This window comes from Homo sapiens, chromosome 2 (assembly GCF_000001405.40).
Source record: "Homo sapiens chromosome 2, GRCh38.p14 Primary Assembly".
Classification (NCBI taxonomy): domain Eukaryota; kingdom Metazoa; phylum Chordata; class Mammalia; order Primates; family Hominidae; genus Homo; species Homo sapiens.
The window spans coordinates 33548237-33574802 of record NC_000002.12 but is presented as its reverse complement, the minus strand read 5'-3'; the positions used below and the strand labels follow the sequence as shown (position 1 = coordinate 33574802).

Genomic DNA, 26566 nt, shown 5'->3' with positions numbered 1-26566 from the left:
AACACATAATGTTTTACATCTTTGTTGTTTTTAAAAAATTTATCTTGGAGACTTCCTATCAATTTATATAGAGTTTCTTCTTTGTTTAAAACATCTGAATGGTATTACATTGTATGGATATAACTATTTAACTAGGTCTATATTAATAGATTTTTGGTTATTTCCAGTTATTTCCAATCCTGAACAATACCCTTGTGAAAAACCTTGTTTACTTGTAATTTCTCTTATGTCTAAATATAGCTTGAGAGATCACAAGTAAAAGCATGGATTCCGGACACAGACTGCTGGGGTTCGAACCCTGGCTCTACTTATGAGGTGTGTGTCTCTGGGCCTGTTACTTAACTTCTCTGCCTCAGGTTCCTCATCAGTAAGAACTTTAAGGTTAGTGCAGAGATTTGGTGACACGCCCTGTGTAAACTACTTAGAACAGTGGCTGACATAAGCTGTAACTAGTAGTTACTGCTATTACTACTATTGTTACTGTCATTCTCATTTTCTTTAGGACAAATTCCCATATATGGACTTACTAGGTCAAAAAGAAAGAACGTTCCTAATCTTTATGGATGGCCAAAATGGTCTCCATCAAGGATATACAAATTTACATTCCCAGTAGTGATGTATGAATAGAATGTCTGTTTCTCGCACTTGTGCCAAGAGAGTATTCACATTTTTTTAGTCTGATGAGTGAAACTGTTATCACAGTGTAGTTTTGTTGTTTTGTTTGTTTTTAAACAGAGTCTCACTCTGTCAGCAGGCTGGAGTGCAGTGGCGTGATCAGGGTTCACTGCAGCCTCGACCTCCCCAGGCTCAGGTGATCCTGCTGCTTCAGCTTCCCAAGTAGCTGTGCACCACCACACCCAGCTAATTTTGTACTTTTGATAGAAATGGAGTTTTGCCACCAGCCTGCTGCCCAGGCTGGTCTCAAACTCCTGGACTCAAGCCATCCGCCCACCTCGGCCTCCCAAAGTGTTAGGATTATAGGCGTGAGCCACCACTACCAGCCCACAGTGTGGTTTTAAGTTGCACTTCTTCTTTGTGAGGGATGTGACATGGTTTTATGAATCCCTTGGATTTATTTTGGATTGTCCACTTAATTCATTCGCTCATTTTATTTGAAACCAGGACATTAGATTTCTTATGAATTTGTAGCTCTTTATATATTAGGTAAGTTAGCTCTGTGTTAGTGATAGGATTTGAAAATGTTTTAAAATATTTTTGTCTATTTTTCCCTTAACTTTTGGTACAATAAGCCAATCAGACTTTTTATATCGCAGATTTTTGTCAGTCTTCTTTCTTATGGCTTCTGGGAACTGTGTCGCACTTAGAAAGGCTTCCCCTGTCCAAGACAGTAATTAAAAATAATTTTCATGGTGTTCATTTCTATGGTTCTATTCCTTTCCATTTAAATTACTCATTCATTTGGAATTATCATGGCATAAGTTTTCTGTTTTTTGTTTTTTTGAGGTACAAATTCAAATTTATTTTAAGATTGCTACCCAATTGTCTCAAATCGTTCATTGAGTAATATTGTTTTCTGAAATGTTATGAGATGCCCACTTTAGCATATGTTTAATTACTATATTGCTGCTTCTGTTTCTGGACTTGCTGTTCTATCTATGCAGGCATCTGTAATACACTATTTTACTTGTTGAGACTTTATGTTTTAATATCTGGCAGGGCTAATTAATCCTCATTACTCTTGTTCAGATATTTCCTAGCTATTTGTGTTTGGATTTCCTCCATGCATTTTAAAATCAATTTGGTAATGCCAAAAACAAAATCTTCTTAGTGTTTTTGGGGAATCACAGTATTAAATTCAAAGGTTAACTTGAAGAGAACTGAAATCTTCATGATGATTTCTTCCTAAGAACTTGAAGGCTTTCCATTCCTTTCAGTCTTCTTTTGTGTCTCTCGTGAACATTTTAAAATTTTCTTCATATAGCTTGCTTGTTTCTTAAGTTTATTCCTTGATATTTTGTCTATTTTTGTCACTGGTCTTTTATTTATGTTTTCTAACTGATTGCTGTCTACATTATGAAAACTGTTGGTCTATTAATTTAATGCACAGCTACCTTGTTGATTTTTCTTACTGTTTGTAGTAAGTTTTCAGTTGATTTTCTTGGGTTTCTAGGTATAGGATTATATTACAGTAATAATTTTGCCTACTTTTAAATATACATCTATTTTCTTGTTTATTTATTTGTAGTGTCTAGTACCTCCAAGGCAATGTTAGATAATCATGATGACAAGCCTTGTTATCTTAGACAAGTTCTTAGTATAAATGCTTGCATTATTCCCTCATTAACAATCTGGGGTGGAGCATGGTACCTCATGCCTGTAATGCCAGCACTTTGGGAGGCCAAGGCAGGCGGAGCCCAGGAGTTAGAGACCAGCCTGGGCAACATGGCGAAATCCTGTCTCTACCAAAAAAGATACAAAAATTAGCTAGGGCATGGTAGAGGCACCTGTAGTCTCAGTTACTCAGGAAACTGAGGTGGAAGGATTGCTTGAGCCCAGGAGGCAGACGTTGCAGTCAGCTGAGATCATGCCACTGCACTCCAGCTTGGGCAACAAAACGACACTCTGAAAAAAAAAATTGTTTTTGTAAGGGATCATGATGGTTTTAGGGTTGAAATAGATATATTTTAATCATTTTTAGAAATTTTTATTTTGACTTTTAAGAATTTTTAAATCAAAATATATGTTGAATTCTGTCAAACATTTATTTAGTATTTATTATGATCATATAGTTTTATTCTTTTTATATTATTAGCATTCTTATATTCATAAATATATGAATATTGAGCCATTCTTGAATTTCTACTAAGAATTTTCATATTTTTACTGTATTTACAGCATTCTGATTTGCCTTGATATTCAGAAATGAGATTATTCCAGTTCTCTTAATTTGGACAATTCTTACTGGGTTTTGGTATCAATGTTATATTTTCTTTTTGTTGTTGTTATTGTCGTTTTATTTTTATTTTATTTGTTTCTTCACAAACAGTCCTATTGCAGAATAATGTTATATTCCCTTCATTTAAAAGCTTCTAGAAGTTTTTTCTTTGTGTTTTAAAACAATGTAAGTTACACTGAAATTATCTACACTTTAAAAATTCAATAAAAATTTTCTGAGCCCGATGGTAATTTTGGACAATAGCTCTTCAATAACTGTACTTTTTTTTTTAATTCTTTTTTTTTTTTTTTTTTTGAGACAGAGTCTTGCTCTGTAGCCCAGGCTGGAGTGCAGTGGCACAGTCTCGGCTCACTGCAAGCTCCGCCTCCCGGGTTCATGCCATTCTCCTGCCTCAGCCTCCCAAGTAGCTGGGACTACAGGCGCCCACCACCACGCCCGGCTAATTTTTTGTGTTTTTAGTAGAGACGGGGTTTCACCATGTTAGCCAGGATGGTCTCAATCTCCTGACCTCGTGATCCACCCGCCTTGGCCTCCCAAAGTGCTAGGATTACAGGCGTGAGCCACCATGTCTGGCCTTTTTTTTTTTTTTAATTCTTAGATCAGTTTTTGTAAATTATAATTTCCTAGAAAATTATTCACTTGTGGTTTTTATTTTTTGGCTTGGATTTGAGAAGTTTAGCCATTTATTTGTACTCTTTCTTGTCTATGAACGTATTTAAGACTAAAACTTTTTCTCTGAGTAGTGCTGAGGCTGAATCTTGTAGTTATTCTGATCTGTATTTTCATGATCATTTGCTAGACTTTGATTTCCTCTCTTATTCAAGAGTTCTTTAGAAGAGGTAGGTTTTGTGTTGTTTTGTTTTCATTTCTGAACTTTAGCTACTTCATTTTTCTAGTTTTGCTCTCAAGTTCTAATTTTATGGCATTACAGCATAATTTCCTCTGTATTATTTCGCAGGATTGAAACTTGATATTTCTCTTGTGGCCTAATCTGTGGTCAATTTTTGTGGCTGTCTTACTGAAGATGGAACAGGAGATGTATCTTTGTTTTCAAAGGACAGAGTTCACTATGCACATTTATCAATTGTAGCATCATGGTTTAGAGTACAGACTCTGGAGCCAGATTGATGAGAACCAAACGTCAGATTCACTACTGTGATCTTATGCAAATTACTTCATTTCTCTGTGCCTCAGTTTCTTCATCCGTAAAATGGCTAATGGCTATAATAATAGCATCTACCTCTTAGGGTGTTGAGAGGACTCAATGCATTAATATGTGCAAAATATCTTGAACAGTGTCTGGAATGGAATAAATACTATATATGTTTTAGCTGTTGTAAGTATTTAGATCTACCTTGTTAATTAGTTCTAGAGCAGCATCACTGTCTTAATTGAAATATAATACAGGCCACACATTCAATTTCAAGTTTAAAGTAACTGTGTTAAGGAAGTTTTTTAAAAGTGAAATTTTATTTAACCCATTATATAAAAACCATTATTTTACATATATCAATAGAAAAAATTATTAACAACTTATTTACCTTCTTTGTTTTGTGCTATTTGAAATCTGGCATATTTTGTACTTATGGCACCTGTCAATTTGGACTAGTCATATTTCAAGTGCTCGTTAGCCACATGTACCTAGTGGTTACCGTGTTGAATGGCACAGGTCTAAGCGCCTTATTTTTTGTGTACTTGGTACTTGGTTATATCATGAGCTGAGTGAGAGGATAATACATATTTTATACCACTAATATATTTCTGTGTATCTTTGAATCATCTATTCTTTTTGTTCTGTAAATGATGATGCTCTATAATTTGGTACAAAGATATTCATAATTATATTTTGATTGTGATCTGTATCCATTAGCATTAAAATGGGCCTACTTTTGTCTCCTTTTTTTTTTTGAGACGGAGTTTCTCGCTCTGTCGCCCAGGCTGGAGTGCAGTGGCGCAGTCTCGGCTCACTGCAAGCTCTGCCTCCCGGGTTCACGCCATTCTCCTGCCTCAGCCTCCCGAGTAGCTGGGACTACAGGCACCTGCCACCACGCCTGGCTAATTTTTTTGTATTTTTAGTGCAGACGGGGTTTCACCGTGTTAGCCAGGATGGTCTCGATCTCCTGACCTCGTGATCCACCTGCCTTGGCCTCCCGAAGTGCTGGGATTACAGGTGTGAGCCACCGCGCTGGGTCCATTTTTGTCTATTTTTGTGCCTTTTTTTTTTTTTTTTTTTTGAGACAGAATTTTGCTCTTGTTGCCCAGGCTGGAATGCCATGGCGCGATCTCAGTTCACCACAACCTCCACCTCCCAGGTTCAAGTGATTCTCCTGCCTCGGCCTCCCCAGTAGCTAGGATTACAGGCATGCGCCACCTTGCCTGGCTAATTTTGTATTTTTAGTAGAGATGGGGTTTCTCCATGTTGGTCAGGCTGATCTCAAACTCCCGACCTCAGGTGATCCGCCTGCCTCGGCCTGCCAAAGTGCTGGGATTACAGGCGTGAGCCACCGCGCCCAGTCTTTTTTTGTGCCTTTTGCCTTGAATTTAATTTTGTGTGATACTATATTTATGATCAATGTTTTCTTTCTGCTTGCGTTTGTTTGGTATATATTTGCCCATTTAAAAAAGTTTTCAGCCACCTGAATCACTTTACAGCAGGTCTCTTGTGCACAGCATAGAATTGGGGTTTTTTGGTGGTGGTGTTATCAGTCTGAGTACCCTTTAAAAAAAAGTGAGTTTAGCCCATTTATATAACAGATGTTTGAACTTAGTTCTCTTATATATAAGTTCTGTTTTCTGTTTTTATAACTTTTAACTTTCGTATAGAGTCTCTTTGCTTTGGTTTTTTGCATTTACTCTGATATTTAGGAAGAATTAAAATTTTGCTGTAATGTGGACCTTTATAACTATGTAGAATTGCCTTCACCTTACACTTCTTTAGAAAGAATTGCAAAAAAAAAGAAGGGACCTAAAACCTGGAAATAAGGCAGAAGATGGCTGTATGTCCTCGGGTGTCATTCTGCAGCAGTGTCTGACAAGCCTGCTTGAGAGCCATCTGTCTTTCTAGAAGCAGTTCTCAAGTTCAGTACCCAACTAGCATCATCAGCGCCAGCATCACCTGGGAACTTAGAAATGCAAGTTCTCAGGCCCCACCCCAGACCAACCGAATCAGAAACTGTGAATGAGGCCCAGCAATGTGTGCTTTAACAAACCTTCAGGTGACTCTGATGCATGGACAGTGGTTCTCAGCCAGTAGCAATTTTGTCACTTAGGGGACATTTGGAAATGTCTGAAGACATTTTTGGTTATAAAGGAAGTGCTAATGGTATCTAGAAGGCAGAAGCCAGGGACGCTGTTAAATACCCTACAGCGCACAGGACAGCCCCCTTCCCACTTCCCAACAAAGAATTCTCTGGCCCCAAATGTCAATAGTACAGAGATATAGGAACCTTCTTTACAGGAATGTATTTTTGTTTCATTTACTATTTACTATGGATTAGGGCTCAGTTTCTAACTTCCAGAAAATGGGTAAGATACAACAGATTTTTTATCGGGTAGAGGTGTAAATTATTTCTGTCTAGTAGAGAAGATAACCTCAAAGATTATGGTTTAATTGCCTTGTAGGATATTATATTCATGTGTGCTGTGTAGCAAAATACCCTAATACCTAATAACATAAAACAATAAACATTTATTATTACCATGATTTCTGTGAGTCAGGAATTCATTAAGTAGCTTTAATTCTTGGAAAAACAATTTTCATATGCTCTGTAGCAATTTTGTTTTCTGGTGAGTTTTCTGACATCTGTTTAACTGTCCTTTTTTTTTTTCTTCTCATATCCCCTTGGTTTTGGTTTTACCTCTGTTTTAATTTTGAGCTTTTATTCAAAATCTGTGGGAAGTTCCTGTAGGGAAGGAACCAGAGTAGAGTTCAGGCCAGGTGAAATTTCTATTATCCTAGGTTTTGAGTGTGAGTTCAATTAGTCTTAACATCTTGCTGGGCACTGGCAACTATGGGATTTTTTGTTTTTTTTCATCATAAAGAGCCTCTGGCATTCTGCTGTCACAGAGACAGATTGCTTCTAGCAAATATTTCTTGTCAGTGTGCCCTGGCTCTCCTGCTTCTCAGAACCAAACAGGCCCGGGAAGCTCCTGCCACCAGCTAATATATCCTTGTTTCTTCTGTTGTAAATGAAGATTGAGGATTTGCACTTCAGAGTGTGCCCTTCTCTCTGAGCGGGATATTTGCTGCCGCCGGGTGTGTGTGCGTGTGCGTGTGTGTGTAAGATATTTGCTGCCGCCTGGTGTGTGTGTATGTGTGTTTTGAGGCAAAGCCTCACTCTAGGCTGGGGTGCAGTGGTGTGATCTTGGCTCACTTGCAACCTCTGCCTCCTGGGTTCAAGCGATTCTCCTGCCTCAGCCTCCTGAGTAACTGGGATTACAAGTGCGTGCTGCCATGCCTAGCTAATTTTTGTATTTTTACTAGAGATGGGGTTTCACCATGTTGACCAGGCTGGTCTTGAACTCCTGGCCTCTAGTGATCCACCCACCTTGGCCTCCCAAAGTGCTGGGATTACAGGCATGAGCCACCGCACCCGGCCTATACTCCATATTTAAATCTTTCCAGTTGTCCCCCAAATACCTGCTTTACTTTCCTTTTCTTTTTTTTTTTTTTTTAATCCAGACAGTGTGTCGCTCTGTTGCCCAGGCTGGAGTGCAGTGGTACAATCATAGCTCGCTGCAGCCTTGAACTCCGGTGTTTAAGTAGTCTTCCTGCCTCAGCCTCTCAAATCACTGGGACCATAGGCGTGAGCCACTGCTTTCTTCAAAATTTGACCCAGAATCCAATCAAGGTTTGTAACATCGCATTTCACTGTTGTGTTTCATTCAATCTTTTCTGATCCAAAATTGCCCTTTCCCTCCTTTTTCTGTTCGTGATATTTTATTTTTGAAGTGTTCAGGCCAGTTGCTTTGTAGAATACTCCAAGTAATTCCTTCTTCATGCTCCTGTGGATAAACTGCATGTCACTTAGATTCTGAATGGGTATGAATTCCAACGTGATATGCTAGTAACATTTTTGAAAGACAAGATAAAGTAATCATTTTTGTTTGAGGTCTGAGTGCTCTCTAGACTTAGGCCAGCAGGTTTTGGATGCAGCCAGGAGGAAGCCATTTCCTGATTAAGCCTTAAATGCCAAGTAGTTTCCTATACTTACCCACCTTCAATAGTTGTAAAATACATTCCAGTTATCAAGTAAATGCTTTTTATTTTAAAAAGTAATGTTGGTTTTCCTCCTGTCTCCCTGTGTAAACTAATAAATTCTTTTTAAGAGGCAACCTTTTGAATATATTTATATTTTATCCCATTTATGTATACCCAATATATGGATTTTTCTCTAACCTCATTTACATTTTACTCATTTGGTTTCTTAATCTTGCAGGCCTGTTTTCAAACAGGACAAGACTAGTCAGTGTTACAATCAAACCAGAACTAATCCTACACACACATAGTGCCAGAAATAAGAAAATCTCTTTTGACTATTTTCATTAATACTTCTGTTTAATCTTTTTTTTTTTTTTTTTTTTTGACAGAGTCTTGCTCTTTTGCCCAGGCTGTAGTGCAGTGGCGCCATCTCAGCTCACTGCGAGCTCTGCCTCCTGGGTTCACGCCATTCTCCTGCCTCAGCCTCCCAAATAGCTGGGACTACAGGTGTGCACCACCATGCCTGGCTAATTTTTTTTTGTATTTTATTACAGACGGGGTTTCACCGTGTTAGCCAGGATGATCTCCATCTCCTGACCTTGTGATCTACCCGCCTCGGCCTCCCAAAGTGCTGGGATTACAGGCATGAGCCACCATACATCTTTTTTTAACAGAAAATTTAGTTAAATATTGGGTTTAGAGCCTCCAAATATACAGCCATATAATATAGAGAAAATCTGGGCTCTTGAGACAGTTTTAGAGAAGAATCCTGCTTAATTGCAAAATAATAATAACATAAGGTCTTTACAAATACTTTTACATATATTATCTGACTTGATCTTTACCAAAACTCTATGAGGTAGTTGAAGAGGGTGGTGAAATCTCTTTTTTTCAAATGAAGAAATTGAGGGCTCAAATAGATGTACCTGACTTGCCCAGGATTCCATGACTGTAAGCAGCCAAGATGAGATTTCAGTCTGGTTGGGAATTGCGTGCTAAAGGTACACTTTTGTGGTACAGTTTCACTGAATTGATCTCCTCAGTCATTCTAGAGCTTTATATATTTTGGCAAAATTCACATATTTATCTTAGGAATAATTAAGCTTCCTACCATCAATAACAGTTTGACGTTCTCTTCTGCAGAAGTCCTGCCTTCATTTTTAAAATGCAAACTCCTCTGTCCATTGTAGAAACTTACCATGAAAATCTGGGCACATTATTGCTTCAAGGGATATCCACTCAACACAAGGGTTCAAATAACCAATCATGGCTCCTATGGTTTAGGCAGGTCTGAGAAAGCATCAGTCAATTTGTAGATGCTCCAATGAAGATGCAATTGAAGCATTTAATAAATCCTGCCTTCATACCTCATTTTCATTGTTAAGAAGAGTTTACTTTTGTTTTTCCTTTCAATTTTCAGGGTGACAGTGATCATCAGACCTACAAAATGAAGGTGAGGAGGAGTCAATTGTGATTGTTCTTTTTGCCCCATCGTGGATTTGCCTATTTTATTTTACTGATGATGGGAAATTGATAGATTGGAAACATCAGAGTCACTGGTTGTCAGTAAATGATATAATCATAATTATAAGGCAGTTTTGTTATAGACTTAAATTAGTCTTCAGCAAAGTAATAATAGGGGGGTGTGCGTGTGTGTGTGTGTGTGTGTGTGTGTATACAGTAAGTAAGTCCTCACTTAACATGGTCTGTAGATTCTTGGAAATAGCAACTTTAAGTCAAATGAAGTGTTCAAACTGGTCCTCCACAAGGTAATTTCATTCAATTTCCTTTCATTACAACGTTGATGAGAAAAAAAGTTGGTCTTGTTATAGTTGTTTCAAGACCAACTTCAAGTTGTTAAAGTAGCAGTTTCCAAGAATCTATGGACAAATGAGGACTTACTGTGTATATACACACACAATATACAGGCCCATATGTAATTTATATATGTATATACATAGTTATTCTTTTTTATTTTTTACTCAAGTTACATTTAATATCTTTATCACAGGAAGGCTGGCAATATAAAACTTCCTATGTACGAAAACTCAAAAATAACCAAAGTGGCAAGTGAATAATTCCTTTGAGAAGCAAAAGAACAGTACAATGTTTATTAACACGTTTCTTCCTGAATTTTCTTCAATTTTTTTAAACACACAAAAAGCTTTTCTGTACTTAGATTGCTGTTTGCTGTTTTTAATGTTGTTAACATGCATATTATTGCATTTATGGATAGTAGTAGATAGTGTAATATACATGAAACCAACATCTAGGGATGGCTGCCTTCTGAGTGCTTTACAGATGGCACGTTCTCTTATTATCCAGCTTAATCACAGCTCCTCCAACTGATAACTTCACATCATCTGCAGTATTTCCAATCTGTAAATCTGGTTGGCACAAGTTGGTTTTAGCGTATTTGGAACCGTATTTTAAATCACTGGAACTACTTTGCCTTAATGCCCATGGGCTGTCAGCTCCCAAGGGCTAAGACCAAGTTTTTCTTAACTTTGTGCATATAGCGTGGGACCTGCCCAGAACAGGTACTCAACAATTTTGCTGAGCAGAACTGTCCTCAATGGAGAAAAGAAAGGAGAAAGGCTTTACTGAAGACTGCCCCAAATACAAACAAATTCCATTTTAAATGGAATATATACACTTTAGCCCCCAAATGCAGACCAGTGCACGTCTGTGTAGTTTCCGACTAGTCACCTGGTAATAGATCATTCCTGTCATTCACAGGCTCAGTCCCAGCTCTATTTTTCAGTATCTTGAATCAAGTTCTCTCTCCTCTAATCATGGAAGAAATAGACCCATAACTAGTTATTTTGGGTAAATGGGAGCTATTTAAAAAATTGATATTTTAAAAGCTTAAATGAAATGTTAATCAAATATGATTTATGATTATTTTCTTTCTATGAGTATTCTTTAATTGTGGAAGGCAGTTTCTTAGGAAGGGAACAAGGGTTCTCTTTTACAACCAAAAGTTTGGTGGTGGTTTTTTTTTTCACAAAATTATTGAGTTTAAAAAAATTGATGGTTGTTTTGCATTTCACCTAGTAGCTTATTCAATGGTTTGTTTTTCTGCTAAATGTTAACCGTCAAAACTTGAATTAATTTCTTAATTGCTATTTCTACTTCAGGAATCTTAAGAAAGATGGCTTAACCCAGTCAGAAGGGACAAGCATAATTTTCTTCCATGGCTATTTAAGTAAGTATTAGGAGAGCTTTCACGACCATGCTATAGCTTCCTAGTGACGCAGAATTGGTAAGACTTGTGTGATATATACATGTGTGACTTGTTACATATCATAGCAACTGTGTAGTGGGAAGGATGTAAACAGTTTCTCCTTGCAGTTGACCATCATTAGAAGAATCACTGCATTCCAGTGTCTGATGAGCTTCCTAGTCCTCAGGAAAATGTTAAGTTCTGGTCCCATCCAAAAAGCACACCAAGAAGAACAAAACAAAACAAAACAAAACAAGAAAAACAAAAAATGAAAAAAACCCCTCTAAATAAACTCCTTGTTAACTGTTCCCTGCCACAGCACACACAAAAGTTTATAAAAATATTGAAAGGATAGTCTCACAAAAAAAGCGAAGTCTGAGTTTACAGACTGAGTATCAAGTACATGCAAAAAAGCTTTCATTTCACCCGTATATAAATGGTCTAGAGAAAGATACATGAGAAAAAAGTACTGACTACATAACACAGTCTTTGTGGCACTTAACTAGGGGTAGGGGAGGAGGAAATAAATAGTTCATAGTTAGTTAGTTAGGGTCAATTCTCTGTCCCATAGTCCAAACATGGAGATCCCACAGTGTCCCAAGGCAGTAAACATCCAGGTATCTTTCCAGATAACTTCCTGAGAGTCAGAGCTTTCTTCAGAGTTTCTCGTCTTGCCCCTTCCAAAAGCCAACATTATTGCCTTCAGTTTCCGCAGCCTGAAGTCAGCCATCCTGAAACACAAATTGGAACCTATTGCATGGCTGGATCTCATATAACAAAATAAGAGTGTTCCTAGAAAGCAGTTTTTCAGATGACTTTGAGGGAACATCTGAAATGATCAGTACCTTGTAGTCTCAGGATTTAGTGGGAATTAGGAGATCATGTAGGTAGCTGGGTGCAGTGGCTCACACCTATAATCCCAGAGCTTTGGGAGGCTGAGGTGGGAGGATCACTTGAGGCCAGGAGTTCAAGACCAGCCTGGTAAATATAGCAAGACCCCGTCTCTACAAAAAAATAAATAAAAACCAGCTGGGTATGGTGGCATATGCCTGCAGTCCCAGCTACTTGGGAGGCTGAGATGGGAGGATCACTTGAGCCCAGGAGTTCGAGGCTGTGGTGAGCTATGACTGTACCACTGCAGTCCTGCCAGGGGGACAGTGAGATCTTGTCTCAGAAAAAAAAAAAAAAAAAAGAGAGAGAGATCATGTAGTTCACCCAGCATATGAACTCTTAAAGACTCCAATATGGAGTCCAACTAGGATGTTGACCTTAAAGGGTGTACCACAAATCATTAGTCCCTTGAAATGGTCCTTGTTAAAAGGTTTCCCTCTTAGAAATCCACAGTGTAAATTAGTGCAAGAGGGCACTGAGAAAATCTGTAAATCTACATATGTATATGTACATATGTATGACTATGTATATTACATATATTCATAAACATATTCCATTTTATTTAGTCAGCATTTCCCAACCCTTTTATGATAAGTATTTGTTGACTAAATTTAATTTAGTAGAAGATAAAGGAAAACAAAAGAAGAAGTTTAAAGGAAATACATGTATTCTTACTGCCAAGAGAGTAATCTTGAACTGTTCTGACATGTAGTGGTCATTGGGGAGATGACATACACTGCCACAGAAAATGTTCGTACCCTTATATTTTAAAATGAGCGTAAATCCTGGAACTCCGTTGGAGGAAATACACAGATTACAAACACACGTACCTTTTCTGTGTTCTAAAGTCTTTAACTACAGGACTCACAAACATCATCTGATACTAAATAATAAATGTGTAGGTCAGTGCTCCTAATGCCATTTATTGGTCTTGCCTGGCAGAAAAAAAAAAAATCTTAAATTTGCAAACTCCTTTGTCTACATATTCAACCGCTGGGTATAATTTTGTCATTTTTTTTCCCTTCTTCCTTATTCCCTAAACAGAGCAAACATCTCATTTGTTACTGATTTGAATGGTACTGGAACTGTATACCATATATATGCATTTCATATAAGAGCATACGTCCTTCATTAATTAGCACAGATGAAATTAAATACTCGTGGTCAGTGAACCATCCCTGTGCTTTAAGAGATAAAAACACAGCTGGGCGCGATGGCTTACGTCTGTAATCCTAGCACTTTGGGAGTTTGAGGCAGGTAGAATACCTGAGGTCAGGAGTTTGGGACCAGCCTGGCCAGCATGGTGAAACCCTGTCTCTATTGAAAATGCAAAAATCAGCCGGGCATGGTGGCACATGCCTGCAGTCCCAGCTACTTGGGAGGCTGAGGCAGGAGAATCGCTTGAACCTGGGAGGCAGAGGTTGCAGTGAGCTAAGATTGTGCCACTGCACTCCACCCTGGGTGACAGAGTGAGACTCCGTCTCAAAGAAAAAAAAAAAAGAAAGAAAAGAGATAAGAACACAGAAAGGATAAGAGAGCATTTGAATATAAAAGTTCAATTTCCAGGAAACAAAATTAAATTTTTTTAAAAACCCAGATACTTGTTTATATTTCCTTATAGAGATTAATGATCAGGATATCTTACCTATTTGATTGTCTTACACCCAACAGGCTGTGAATTTCTCCTAACTCAGAAGCACAGTTTTTAAGTAACTTGAACTGTGAGAGGCCAATAGTAATGAGCTCATGGCCAATTTCACTATTTGTTAAACAAAAGCAGGTTCTCCTCTGAATTCAGAGATGCCCACAAGGTGGGCGCCATCCTGAGCACTCTGGTAGGCGTCCTACCATCTACCTGGAGAAGCTCTTTTTCTGACATTCCAGGGGCAGCTACAGCACCCACGGAAACAGCCTCTGCAGGCTGAGTTAGTGTATGGGGTGACTAGACAGGGAATCCAGAAAATCTTCTTGCACAATGATTCTTTGCTTTTTTGGATCACATACCCCCCAGGAGAATCTGTTTGTTTAATGCATGGACTCCTCTTCCCAGAAGTGACCATATGTCCATGTATATTTTACACGGAGTATAAAGTACTGTCATGAACACCCTAAAGCCATTAAATAGACCTCGGGTTAAGAGCTGTTGACACCTAATCATGATCTTTCTCTTATTCTCGTTTATATTCCCAGCTTGAACTGTGCTAGGCCAGTAAAAGAAGTAGGGGGATAGGACTGATACAGTTGTCAAGATGATCAGTGGGGGAAATGTTAAAAATAAAGTGGGCATTGCAAATCTATAGAGACAGAAAATAAATTAGTTGGCTGGGGTGAGTTGGGGGAGAATGACTGCTCGTGGGTGTAGGATTTCTTTTTGGAATAATGAAAATGTTCTAAAATTAGATTGTAGTGATGGTTGCACAACTTTGTGAGTATACTAAAAGCATACTGAAAGTATACTAAATTGCATACTTTTAAATGGGTCAGTTTCATGGCATATGAATTACATCTCAAAGCTGTTTTTAAAAGTGGATGTTATAGAAACAAAAAAAGTGTTTCAGCAGAAACTTACAATAAACCTTGTATGACCAGAGATAATGGGTGGCCTCCTTATGCACTGCCTTCAGTGAGGAAGGAACTAGGGGAATTTCTGGCTAAAGGTCACTGGAGTTTTTCTCATCATGGGAAATGTATGGAGACGTGTGTTTAGGTCTCCTGAAGAGTGGAATGTGGAGGACCACCCATAAGACTAAAGAGCACTGGCTTGATCCAGTAGGATCTCTGCCTAACCCAATATTCTGTTTATGAGAACAATTCGACAGGGTGGCAATGGCTGTCCTCCATGACATTGCTTTAAATGTTAGGAATATCATGCCAATTTTCTCAAATCCTTTCTCTTAATACACTATAGACTGTTAACTAATAAATTTATCTAACTCCATCTTGAATCAATTTCTGTGTCAGCATACTCTAACAAATTCCATCTGCATCCTACTTTGCTTTGCATGATTTTGCTCATGCGGAGGCAGAGCCTGGTTTAGAGATCCTCAAGGGCCTCGTATCTCTGATTCTCACCACCCCCTTTTCCATGATGCTGTCAAAAGCTTCTTTTGAGCAGAATGAAAAGTTTCCAATTCTCCTTTATCTAAAAGTCTTTTGCTTCTACTGCCTTTCTTGAGTCTGGGCCCTGGTTCTAGCTTGGAAAACCAAGCTGATCTGTATCGTGTACTGGTATTTTGGATATATAGTCATGGGTTTCTGGGGCATCATTTCAGTACGCACACATGACAGCCTTCAATAGGTTTCAGAACTTGATCTCGTTCAATTTTTTTAAATCATGATACTGAGATCCATAAAGAAGAAACATATGTCCAGGGTCACATAGCTAGGCAGTGGCAAGACTAAAAGTGATACATGTCTTCATTCCCAACCATTCTGCTTTCAGAACTACCAGGCTGCCCCCCAGACCCTCTGTAACGCTCATCTCAGCACTTTCAGCCTCCTTCTTCTGGTTTTCTTTGTGGGTTGACCTAGCACTTACCTCACCATCCTGTCTGGTCTCTTCTCCTTCATCCTGGTCAAGTTCAAACTCCGTGCCCCGGTCTACAACATCCACACCAGCATGCACCCTGGGCTTCTCATTTTCCCATTTGGCAAAGCCTTTGTCCTTTGCTGCTTTGTCATGGAACTTGGATTTCATTTTAGGGAAGGTGTGGGACCCCGAGTCCCCCCAGCCAGCCTCTGACCAGACAGGTTCAGTCTGGGTGGCCTGGCTGGTGGTGGCCCTCTGTAGCCTCACAGAGATCTTGCGAGAAGAGCCTGTAACCAGTGTGATGGCTCTGCTGTCTAAATCCCTGTGTCCAGCAGTGACTCCAGGGAACTCAAACACCTCATCCTGCGCTGGAAGTGAAAAAGGGTGGTGATTATTTGACATCTGACTGCTTGACAGCAAAGCATCAAGGTTAGTGCAAACAGCACGAGTCTGGCATGCAACATTCTAGAGGAACCGACAAGGGACAGAACTCAATTAGCCGCAGGCAAGTTACATATTCCTGAGACTAGAAAGCAGAGAGAAGCAAGGATGATTCAAGGGTTTAGCTACTGCTGCTCACCCTAAAGAAGGCCTTAGCGTTTAGAGTGACTGACCGGGTTTAGACCCAGAACCTAAATGAGGTCCAAGTGTGAGGAGGCAAGCAGAAAGAGACCATGGCAGCAAAGAAAGCAGAGGGCATTACCTGGGGGCAGCGAGGGGCTTCCAGGCAGTGACCCATGACCACTGCTCAAGGAGGGCGCCCGGGCAAATCTCCTGCAGGCCAGAACCAGGAGGTCTTTGCACTGTTTGTGACAATTGGCTCCACAGTCTGAAAAATTCCAAGGGTGTCGCAGATGATTAGTGTGTCTGATGTTGATTCAGTTTCCAGGGTGGCACTTGATTTGTCAGCCCTCCCCTCCCCCACCCCAGTTTCTGTGTTGAATTTCAGAGTTGAGCTCAGGCCCATGGGGTGTGTCTAGGATCTGGAAAGAGGCCATTGGTCTGCACTTGCCTTCCTGAGGTTCCGAAAATTCTCTTAGATTTGCTCAGCTTGGTTCTGTATGCAATTGAGGACCTAATGAGCAATTGTGCCTAGGGAGTAAATAGAGTCCAGCCTGAGAGGTCAGTTGCCTTTGCCCAAAACTAAATGCAAATCAAATGGGGTTGAGAGTCTTTCCCAGGCTTAGACGGAATCCCCACAAAGAGAGCCTATGCCAGCATTAGGGCAAGAAGCCTCAGCTTCTAGTCTCTCCCAGGCCAACTGCCTCTGATCATTTACTGTGAGGTGTTCCTCCACTCAGCACTTGTCTGGATTTTTTTTTTTTTTTTCGAGATGGAGTCTCGCTCTATTGCCCAGGCTGGAGTGCAGTGGCGGGATCTCGGCTCACTGCAAGCTCCGCCTCCCGGGTTCACACCATTCTCCTGCCTCAGCCTCCCGAGTAGCTGGGACTACAGGTGCCCGCCACCACACCTGGCTAATTTTTTGTATTTTTTAGTAGAGACGGGGTTTCACCATGTTAGCCAGGATGGTCTCGATCTCCTGACCTCGTGATCCACCCACCTCAGCCTCCCAAAGTGCTGGGATTACAGGCGTGAGCCACCGTGCCCGGCCTTGTCTGGATTTTTTTACTCTTCTTCATTTTCCAAAACCTTTCAGGGCCAGTGATTATATCTTCTGCTTCCAACAGAACACAAGATGGGCATATGCTCAGTAAATATGTTCTATATTTGCTTATGGCTTTGAAACAGCGTGCAGCAGAGTCTGTGAATTGCCCATTAGGATGTTTTAGATAAGACAGTAGAATGTTAATTACTACTTGGGGTAGAAAAATGTGGCCACTTCAGATGGTGGTTCACAATTATTTCCTATGATGAGGGTCCTGCACTTCACTGAGAATCATTGAATAGAGATGATCATTTCTCTCCTACCATCAAGGAGGACCTTTCTAACTATTTCCAGTACCCATTTTCCCCTAAGTGACCTTGTTTCAAATAGTCTTAATGATGTATTCAATCTATTTCAATTCATTTTTTTTTTCACTTTATGTGCCATTAAGAAAATACAAGAGATAATCCAAAGGTGTAATAGATTTTCATCTTTATAAAATTGCGTGTGTGTGTGTGTGTGTGTGTGTGTGTGTGTGTGTGTATTTTAGGGTATGAGGATAGAAACCAGAATAAAACTAATGACTCACTGCTGGGCAATAAGATCTTGCAGTATCTTTGCTGCTTGAAAGTAAAAATCTAAGTTAGACCAAGGCAAGTGATAGAGAAGCACTAATGGGAAGGTCCCTCTGAGCACTAAACAGTGGCTTCCATTGAGATTTGGGAAGCTTTTTGTTCATGCAAAATGAGGACGAAATACTGGAAAACGACTGGAGAAAAAAGGCATCCCTGGGGAACAACATTCATCTGAAGGTATTCTGTGATTAAGATGTTTCTTTTTGTAGTTTTATTATATTTTTTCAAAAGCTTTATAAGATTATTAGAAGAGGCCGGGCGCGGTGGCTCACGCCTGTAATCCCAGCACTTTGGGAGGCCGAGGCGGGTGGATCATGAGGTCAGGAGATCGAGACCATCCTGGCTAACAAGGTGAAACCCCGTCTCTACTAAAAATACAAAAAATTAGCCGGGCGCGGTGGCGGGCGCCTGTAGTCCCAGCTACTCGGGAGGCTGAGGCAGGAGAATGGCGTGAACCCGGGAAGCGGAGCTTGCAGTGAGCCGAGATTGCGCCACTGCAGTCCGCAGTCCGGCCTGGGCGACAGAGCGAGACTCCGTCTCAAAAAAAAAAAAAAAAAAAAAAAAAAAGATTATTAGAAGAACCATATAAACTGTCCACATAAAGTGTCCAGCAACTTCTTAAACAACAGTAATGTATACTTGATCATATATGTACAAGTAGCAACACATTCCTAAATGCTTAGTATACATGCATATTGCATTTGTCAAATATATTTGATTCAATTGTTTATAAACTTAATTAAATGGGAAAGATAGAGGAAAGCATTCATTGAAAAGGACAAAATTACGTTTTAAGTTTTCTCCTCGTTTTTTGTCACCATCTATGTGATTTAGTAGAGAAAGGAATAGCTAAGTGTGAGTGGGAAGAAGTGCCTGTGCATTAGAGAAATAGTGTGTAGGTGTTTTTCTTTGAAGGAAGAAGTTCTTATATTCAGTATTTTAGCTAGGCTTGTCCCACTCAGAATTCCCACCTTAACTGGATGCTGCTGATTCCAAAGAACTAGATTTATGTGTGTTGATAAGAGTGGTTTGTAACAAGCTATAAAATTCCAATTTTAGCTCTCCAAAACTCCAGAAACTCCTCCTCAGAGGCAATCATTCTCAGTTGCCGTTGACCCAAAAGACTGAAATTCCGAATAATGGCAAGAGCTTTTGTAGTTTAACCAGACAAATTTGATTCTTACCCAAAATGTCACATTTTAAAAATTGTAACAAAATAACATTGATTTACCTTTGCATTTGTATCCTTGCTTGATTATGCCCCAGAGCTGTAACAAAAGACAAAGGAATGTCAGGGAATCTGAGGATAGATCTGGAAGGAAAACAAGGCCACTGAAAAGGAAGTCCTGGGAAGCTTCAGGACTGGCCAGGCACAAACAGGATGTAGCCACTTTTAACACCCTTCCTGCCAGATAGAAGAACCCTCTCCCGGCCCCTTCCAGCTGTGGTGATAACATGAGTTTCCTTTCCCTTTTCTTTCTCAGAGCCAACTGGGAGCCGGGATGGGAAACTACTAAAGTTTGATGCACCAGACTTTGGCCTGATGCGCTCTCAGCAAAATGTACAGAGGAGATGGCCACTTGGTCTTTGGGAGCCCCTGGCTCTCTCTTTTTAATGACACTAGCTGCTCTTAGCGCCCACTACAGGAAATGAAGCAATGGAAGAAGCGCACCTCATGTGAAAGCATTTGGATTTTGCTAGGCTATTTTCTGAGTAGTATTTGTCCCGTGGAAAAATACAGAAGAGGAAATGATCTTAGTTATTCATGTCTTCATTCTCCACATTTGCTCTATGTTTGGCCTGTGCCAGGGTTGTAGGAGATGTCGAAAAAGCTCAGATTCTGCCAAGCAAGGAGTCTGTGACATCCTCGTGGTTAACAAGTAGGAAGTGACAAATCCCTGAGGGGAGATGTGAGGGCCTGCAGTTCCACGAGGGAGCGTTTGCCCAGGGGGTTCAGGGACATCCTGGTGGTGGTGTCTTCGCTCTCCAGACAGACTCCTTCTAAACACCATAAAGAAGAGGGCCTGGCCAGGCGCGGTGGCTCACACCTGTAATCCCAGCACTTTTGGAGGCCGAGAAGAGCAGATCACGAGGTCAGGAGATCGAGACCATCCTGGCTAATATGGTGAAACCCCGTCTCTACTAAAAATACAAAAAAATTAGCTGGTCATGATGGTGGGCGCCTGTGGTCCCAGCTACTTGGGAGGCTGAGGCAGGAGAATGGCATGAACTCAGGAGGCGGAGCTTGCAGTGAGCTGAGACCGCACCACTGCACTCCAGCCTGGGCAACAGAGCAAGAGTCCATCTCAAAAAAAAAGAAGAGGGCCTTGCCATGCCCTTCTGTGCCTCCCCACACCTCTTGCATGGGGTGACAGATTCACCAGAGGCATACAGTATGGGTAATTAAATGGGCTTAGCTCAAGTTGGAGAAGAACTATTGCTAACCTCTTTGTGTTTGGGTTAGGTGGCTATTATCTACTTAATAAAATAATGTTGAAAAAGCAGGGCCCACTGGGACTGATGGGGGTGCCGTTCACAATGTTCACAATGTATTATAAGTGAACAATGCCCCCACATGTGGGCAGCATGGCCCGCTCTTCCAGAAGAGTAAGTCACAGCCAATGTGAAGTGACTCAAGAGTATACAAAGACTGCTCCTTACTTCTTTTTGACAAGGAACTTCCACAAGTAGAAAACTCAAGGATTCCTTTGAGCCTTAACAGCTATTTGGTCCTTCAGAATACATATTAAAATGCAAATGTCAGCCGGGCGCGGTGGCTCACGCCTGTAATCCCAGCACTTTCGGAGGCCGAGGCGGGCGGATCATGAGCTCAAGAGATCAAGACCATCCTGGCCAACATGGTGAAACCCCGTCACTACTAAAAATACAAAAATTAGCTGGGCATGGTGGTGTGTGCCTATAGTCCCAGCTATTCAGGAGACTGAGGCAGGAGAATCACTTGAACCCAGGAGGTAGAGGTTGCAGTGAGCCAAGATCGCGCCACTGCAGGCGACAGAGAGAGATTCTATCTCAAAGAAAAAATAATAATAATAAATAAATAAAATGCAAATGTCTCCTAGGACAGAGCAGTATTTTGTCTTAGGGACAGGAAGGATTATCTGACAACTAAGTAGAAGCAAGGATGGCTGGAAGAGAGAGGGGCATGATCCAGAAAAGGGCAGTGGTGGCCAGGATCATCACAGCTTGATCTTTATGATAATCTAGTTTGCTTCTCTTTTGTAAAAGGTGAATGTGATGATCCAGGAAGTTAGATAATTTGCAATCTCCCACAACCTGGAAATTCTTTCTCTGGAGCCCTTGGTAATGATAATAGCAATAATAATGATGATAGTTAACATTTCTTGAACTCTTGCTATGTGAAAGGCACAGTTAGGCTCTTTATACATATTAGCTTATTTAATTGCTCATGATGTCCTTATGGTGTAGGTAATAATATTTTTCTCATTTTTACAGATGAGGAGACTGACCTACAGAGAGGTAAAGTCCCTTGGCAAGGTCTCATAGCTAGTGAGGGAAAGAAGAATGTGTCACTTGAGGGAAAGACAGGAAGCCATTGCCCCTGCATACTGTTGTGTGAGCAAAGGCACTGAGGTGGGACAAGAAAGGATAAGATTTAAGAAGAGACATCCTAATATCCAGATATGTTACATTATTAGCATTGCTGCAGGAACTGCTGAAAAAGATACAGTCAAGCAAGGGTGCTGGGGGTGGGGGTGGGGAGGTAGGTTTGCTAATGCTTACTTAATAGCCAGGAACAAACAGTAGCTAGGAAGAGGCACTGGGTCAGTGTGCCTGCCAAGAACAGTAGAGGATGAACTCATGTGGATGGGTATGCAGGAGTATTTCCCACAGTCCTTTGATTTGAGACCACCGGCTGCTGTCATATTTGGAGTAATTGTGGTGTAAGGCACACTGGACTGAGAGTCAGGAGACCTGGGTGTGACTCATGGTTTTGCTGCTAATGATCTGTGTGACCTTGGGGGAAGTCACTTAACTTCTCCAGACCTCAGTTTCTTCATCTACAAAATAAGGGAATTACTAACACTCTTTCAGTTCTGGAATTCTAATTCTAAAGTAAATCTTCTGCAGAGCAAGTCTGTTTGTCTTCCTTAAACTTAAAATGGAATTTATTTTAAAAGCAGATGGTTCCGGCACTGGAACCATTCTCCCACAATTCCTTTCAATGACACATCTATAGAGCTATAGTTATAAATTCCTTTGAAAACCAATGGGCTTTTTGACATGAGTGTCAGTAAAGATCAAATCAAATCGTACCAATAAAATTAAATATATTTTAAAAACAAAAACAGCTGTAAAAATTTTAAATGAGTTAATTTCAATTAAACTCTCAAAGTATCAAGGAATACATAAAAAATGTGTACTCCGAGCCATGTGACGTGCAACGTGTCTAATAGTATTTTATCATGCAACAACATGGTGGGTAAGTATTAACTCCCTTTTACAGATAGAAATAGACCCAAAGATGGTGAATAACTTGGTCAAGGACATAGAGTTAGCAAGGGCAAAACTTTAACCCAGGGTTCCAGACTCCAGGTCCAGAGCTTTCTACTTCATCACAGCTGCATCAAGAATGTAGCACCAGCAGGTCTGCTCCAATGAGTCAGGGAGACAGGTGTGGAACTTCCAAGAAAGTCTACCTTGCTGCTCCTACAGAATCAGGGCCTCTGTAAAAGGGAGGGGCAGGACAGAAGGACTAGAGAGCGGAGATAAGATCTTGAGTTTGTTTCTCTGTTTGTTTGTTTGTTTGTTTGTTTGTTTGTTTTTGAGATGGAGTCTTGCTCTGTCGCCCAGGCTGGAGTGCAGTGGTGCCATCTTGGCTCGCTGCAAGCTCCGCCTCCCGGGTTCACGCCATTCTCCTGCCTCAGCCTCCTGAGTAGCTGGGACTGCAGGCGCCCACCACCACACCCTGCTAATTTTTTGTATTTTTAGTAGAGACGGGGTTTCACCGTGTTAGCCAGGATGGTCTCGATCTCCTGAGCTCATGATCCACCCGCCTTGGCCTCCCAAAGTGCTGGGATTATAGGCGTGAGCCACCGTGCCTGGCCGAGTTTTTTATTATTGTTATTATTATATTTAGCGATGGCAGTGGCAGGTGTCTCTTTATATTGCCCAGGCTGGAGTTGAACTCTTGGGCTCAAGCTATACCCCTGCCTCAGCCTCCTGAGTACCTGGGACTACAGGTCCATGCCACAGCACCCGGGACCTTGAGATTTGATAAGGGTCTTCTGACTCTCACAGCCCACCAAAAGACAGATGCATCATCCTGACTTTTGGCTGAGCCATACCATGGCCCAGCAGCCTGACCTTTTGTTTACTGGGTCCCACTCTGTAGGAGCGTGTTATGCACGGCCCCATCCCACATCAGAATTTTCAGGTCTAGGTATTTCCAAAAATTTCCATCAGAATAGAGAAACATGAAAAAGGAGACCATTTTGTTTTGTTTTGAGACTGAGTCTCGCTCTGTCACCCAGGCTGGAGTGCAGTGGCATGATCTTGGCCCAGTGCAACCTCTGCCTCCCAGGTTCAAATGATTCTCCTGCCTCAGCCTCCTGAGAAGCTAGGATTACAGGCACCTGCCACCATGCCCTGCTAATTTTTGTATTTTTGGTAGAGACGGGTTTTCACCATGTTGGCCAGGTTGGTCTCAAACTTCTGACCTCAGGTGATCTGCTTGCCTTGGCCTTCCAAATTTCTGGGATTACACACATGAGCCACCGCGCCTGGCCAACCATTTGTTTTATGATAAAATGGTCTGGTCATGCAATCCCAGTGGAGATACTAAAGAAGAACTTCACCTTCTCTGCAGTGAATAAAGAGAGCTAGTTAGACTGGCTTTCCCCTGTGTCACATCAGCTGCTATGACCACCTGGGGCCGTCTTTGAGGAAACGGCTGCCTCTTATTTACCCATTCTCAGAGGAGTGTGTGCTTGAACACAGACTCCTGCATTGGGCTCCTGAAAGCCAGTTCTTTGAGCATGGGATGGGAAAAATGTAATTTCTGGTAGCGTATAATATCGGCAACAAATTCAATATGGGTCAACGAGTCAACAGGAGGACATGGCTGCCAAATAAAGCTAACACGACTGAGCTCTGGCATCTAGAAAAAGGGGCGATTGTCATACTCCTCTGGGTGCTGGGCCTCCCTCACCTGGAATACCACATTTCCCATTTTATTTAACTTGGATTATCAACTGGAGACATTCAGGGCCCAGGAGTTTCTGTTAAGGCCAGGATCAAAAACTGACCTTGGTTCCCAAAGAATTATCAAAGGTGGGGGAAGGAAGCATGCAGTCTTAATTTGTTGCAGTGGTGTAGGTGAAGCACAGGGCTGACAGTCAGTACACCTGTGTCGGAGTCCAAGCTCTGGTAATGATTAGCTGTGCAATCCTCGGGAACCTGGGTTATCCTCTTTGAACCTCTATCTTCATAAGCAAGATGGTGAAAGTAAAATACCCACTTCAAGGGCTTGCTATGAGGATTAGTTACCATAATGTCTATGGAAGTACTTTGTTACCGTCAAGCATTGAGTAAATGTTATTTATTATTATAACCAGCTTCTCTCCAAAAAGATTTTTTCTTCCTTTTTGAGTTGTGAATTATTGAACCATGCCATGACGGATTTCTGGTCACTAATACCCCATGAAATGAAAACTGGAAGGAACTCGCTAAGATAAATGCACCTCTTAATTGCAACCACTTATGAATATTAGTGATGAATGCCAGGGCTCATTGGGCTGACACTTTTCCCTGGCAGGGAGTAATAAACAAAACCACTCTCTTGAGTTAACAGCCCTCACCAGCCTTCCCTGTTTTTGCTAGCCCTGCATTCCTAGAAAATAACTAAACCTTGCCTTTGGTGTTTAATCTTCAATTTCAGGGAGCCATCACATTTTACTTCTGATTCAAAGCAGACAGTGAACTTTATTTAGTGTATCATTTTCCTACTTTTTCAGAATGCCACACAAATAACTACACACATAAGAAAACAACGGAAAACAGACTTACAAATCCCGCACAGTGTTCGCAGAAGGTTGGCTTGAGATAGGTCATCTCCTGAAAATTATGGATAAATCCTGGTCCCATTTTACAGTGTAGTTGGGATTTAGCTCTCAGGAAGTAAGCCATCATTTCATCTTTACTAATTAGGCCATCCCTGTTAAGAGAATCAAAGAAGGGAGGGAATCTTTAAATAACAGGTTGCTAAGTAGTTGCCACACTTTAATCACCCACCTCCCAAACCTTTGTGGCCAAAAGCAGTTGAGGCACATTCACTTCTCTATTACATCTCAGAGAAGGAGCAAACCTCAAAAGGCATCTTCAGGTGTTCAAAGCCTTTTTCAGTAAGCAGAAAATTGTGTATGTGTGCATCCTGCGTGTGTGTGTGTGTGTGCAGGAGCATATTCATGTAAGCACACATGTGGCCTGTGCACCGCAGCACAGAAAGTCTTTATTATGAAAAGCAGCTTCCTGAAGGACATCTTTCTAGTCCTTGCCTAGCTGTAAGGTTGCAAGAATTAGGATGATGGAGAAAGGCAGAGAACTGTAATAACTGGGCTGACCATTCTCAAATTCATTCAGCTTGATGCTGTCCGGGCTCCTTGGTGATATTTTCACTCATATCTTAGTGGCTCATAGCCCATTCACTGCGACTGGCTGGGAGCAATTCTTCCAGATCTACTCCACACAGAACAAACCTCTGGTCCTTCCCACCTTCCTACCCCTACTCACCACATACGCTGACTTCTTGTTTATCAAAAATGATCAAATCGGCCAGGTGCGGTGGCTCATGCCTGTAATCCTAGCACTTTGGGAGGCCAAGGTGGGCGGATCACTTGAGGTCAGGAGTTCAAGACCAGCCTGACCAACATGGTGAGACCCCATCTCTACCAAAAACACAAAAATTAGCTGGACGTGGTGGTGTGTGCCTATAATCCCAGCTACTCAGGAGGCTGAGTCACGGAGGCAGAGATTGCAGTGAGCCGAGATCACACCACTGCACTCCAGCCTGGGCAACAGAGTGAGACTCTTGTCTCAAAAAATAATAATAATAATAATAATTGGATCCACTTGACACAGGTGAGCTCTATCTTGCTTCTTTGTCCATTAGCATTTGCTGGCGATCACACCTTTCCTTTCCAGTTCAGAATTCTTTTCTACCTCCTATGTCCTCTCTTGGGAGTCCTCTCTCAGAGGAAGAGTTGTGCCATCCAGCACTCTCCAGCCTCCCCGGGACTCTCCTCCTTCCAGGTTATGCTCAGTCTCTTCCCCTGTTTCTTCCTCCGTTCACAAATACGCTCAGGACTTTCCTACCTGAAAAATCCCCTTCTTCAGTCCTGCTGCCATCTCCAACAGATGTCTTTTCTTTCTACCTTCTTTTTTTTTTTTTTTTTTTTTTTGAGACGGAGTCCCGCTCTTTAGCCTAGGCCGGATTGCAGTGGCACAATCTCGGCTCACTGCAAGCTCCGCCTCCCAGGTTCACGCCATTCTCCTGCCTCAGCCTCCCGAGTAGCTGGGACTACA

The 26566-nt window shown here is 41.2% G+C and overlaps 1 protein-coding gene and 1 long non-coding RNA gene across 17 annotated transcripts in view; one reads left to right on the top strand and one right to left on the bottom strand.

Moving 5' to 3' along the window:
• Positions 1–5372: 5372 nt before the first annotated feature.
• Positions 5373–19758, top strand: RASGRP3-AS1 (RASGRP3 antisense RNA 1). The gene is made up of 4 exons (NR_146505.1): positions 5373–7767; positions 9538–9570; positions 11258–11325; positions 19489–19758. It is a non-coding gene; the product is annotated as an RASGRP3 antisense RNA 1 (long non-coding RNA).
• The window catches only part of RASGRP3 (RAS guanyl releasing protein 3), a 128384-nt gene continuing 111889 nt past the window's right edge, over positions 10072–26566 (bottom strand). For all 16 annotated transcript variants that reach the window (NM_001349975.2, NM_170672.3, NM_001349978.2 and 13 more), the window contains 5 exons: positions 25052–25199; positions 19236–19272; positions 16467–16592; positions 15773–16131; positions 10072–12074 (listed from right to left, as the gene is read on the bottom strand). In NM_001349975.2, coding sequence (NP_001336904.1) covers positions 12066–12074; positions 15773–16131; positions 16467–16592; positions 19236–19272; positions 25052–25199 — 679 coding nt within the window. In that variant the 3' untranslated portion in view covers positions 10072–12065. The remainder of the gene's footprint in view (positions 12075–15772; positions 16132–16466; positions 16593–19235; positions 19273–25051; positions 25200–26566) is intronic.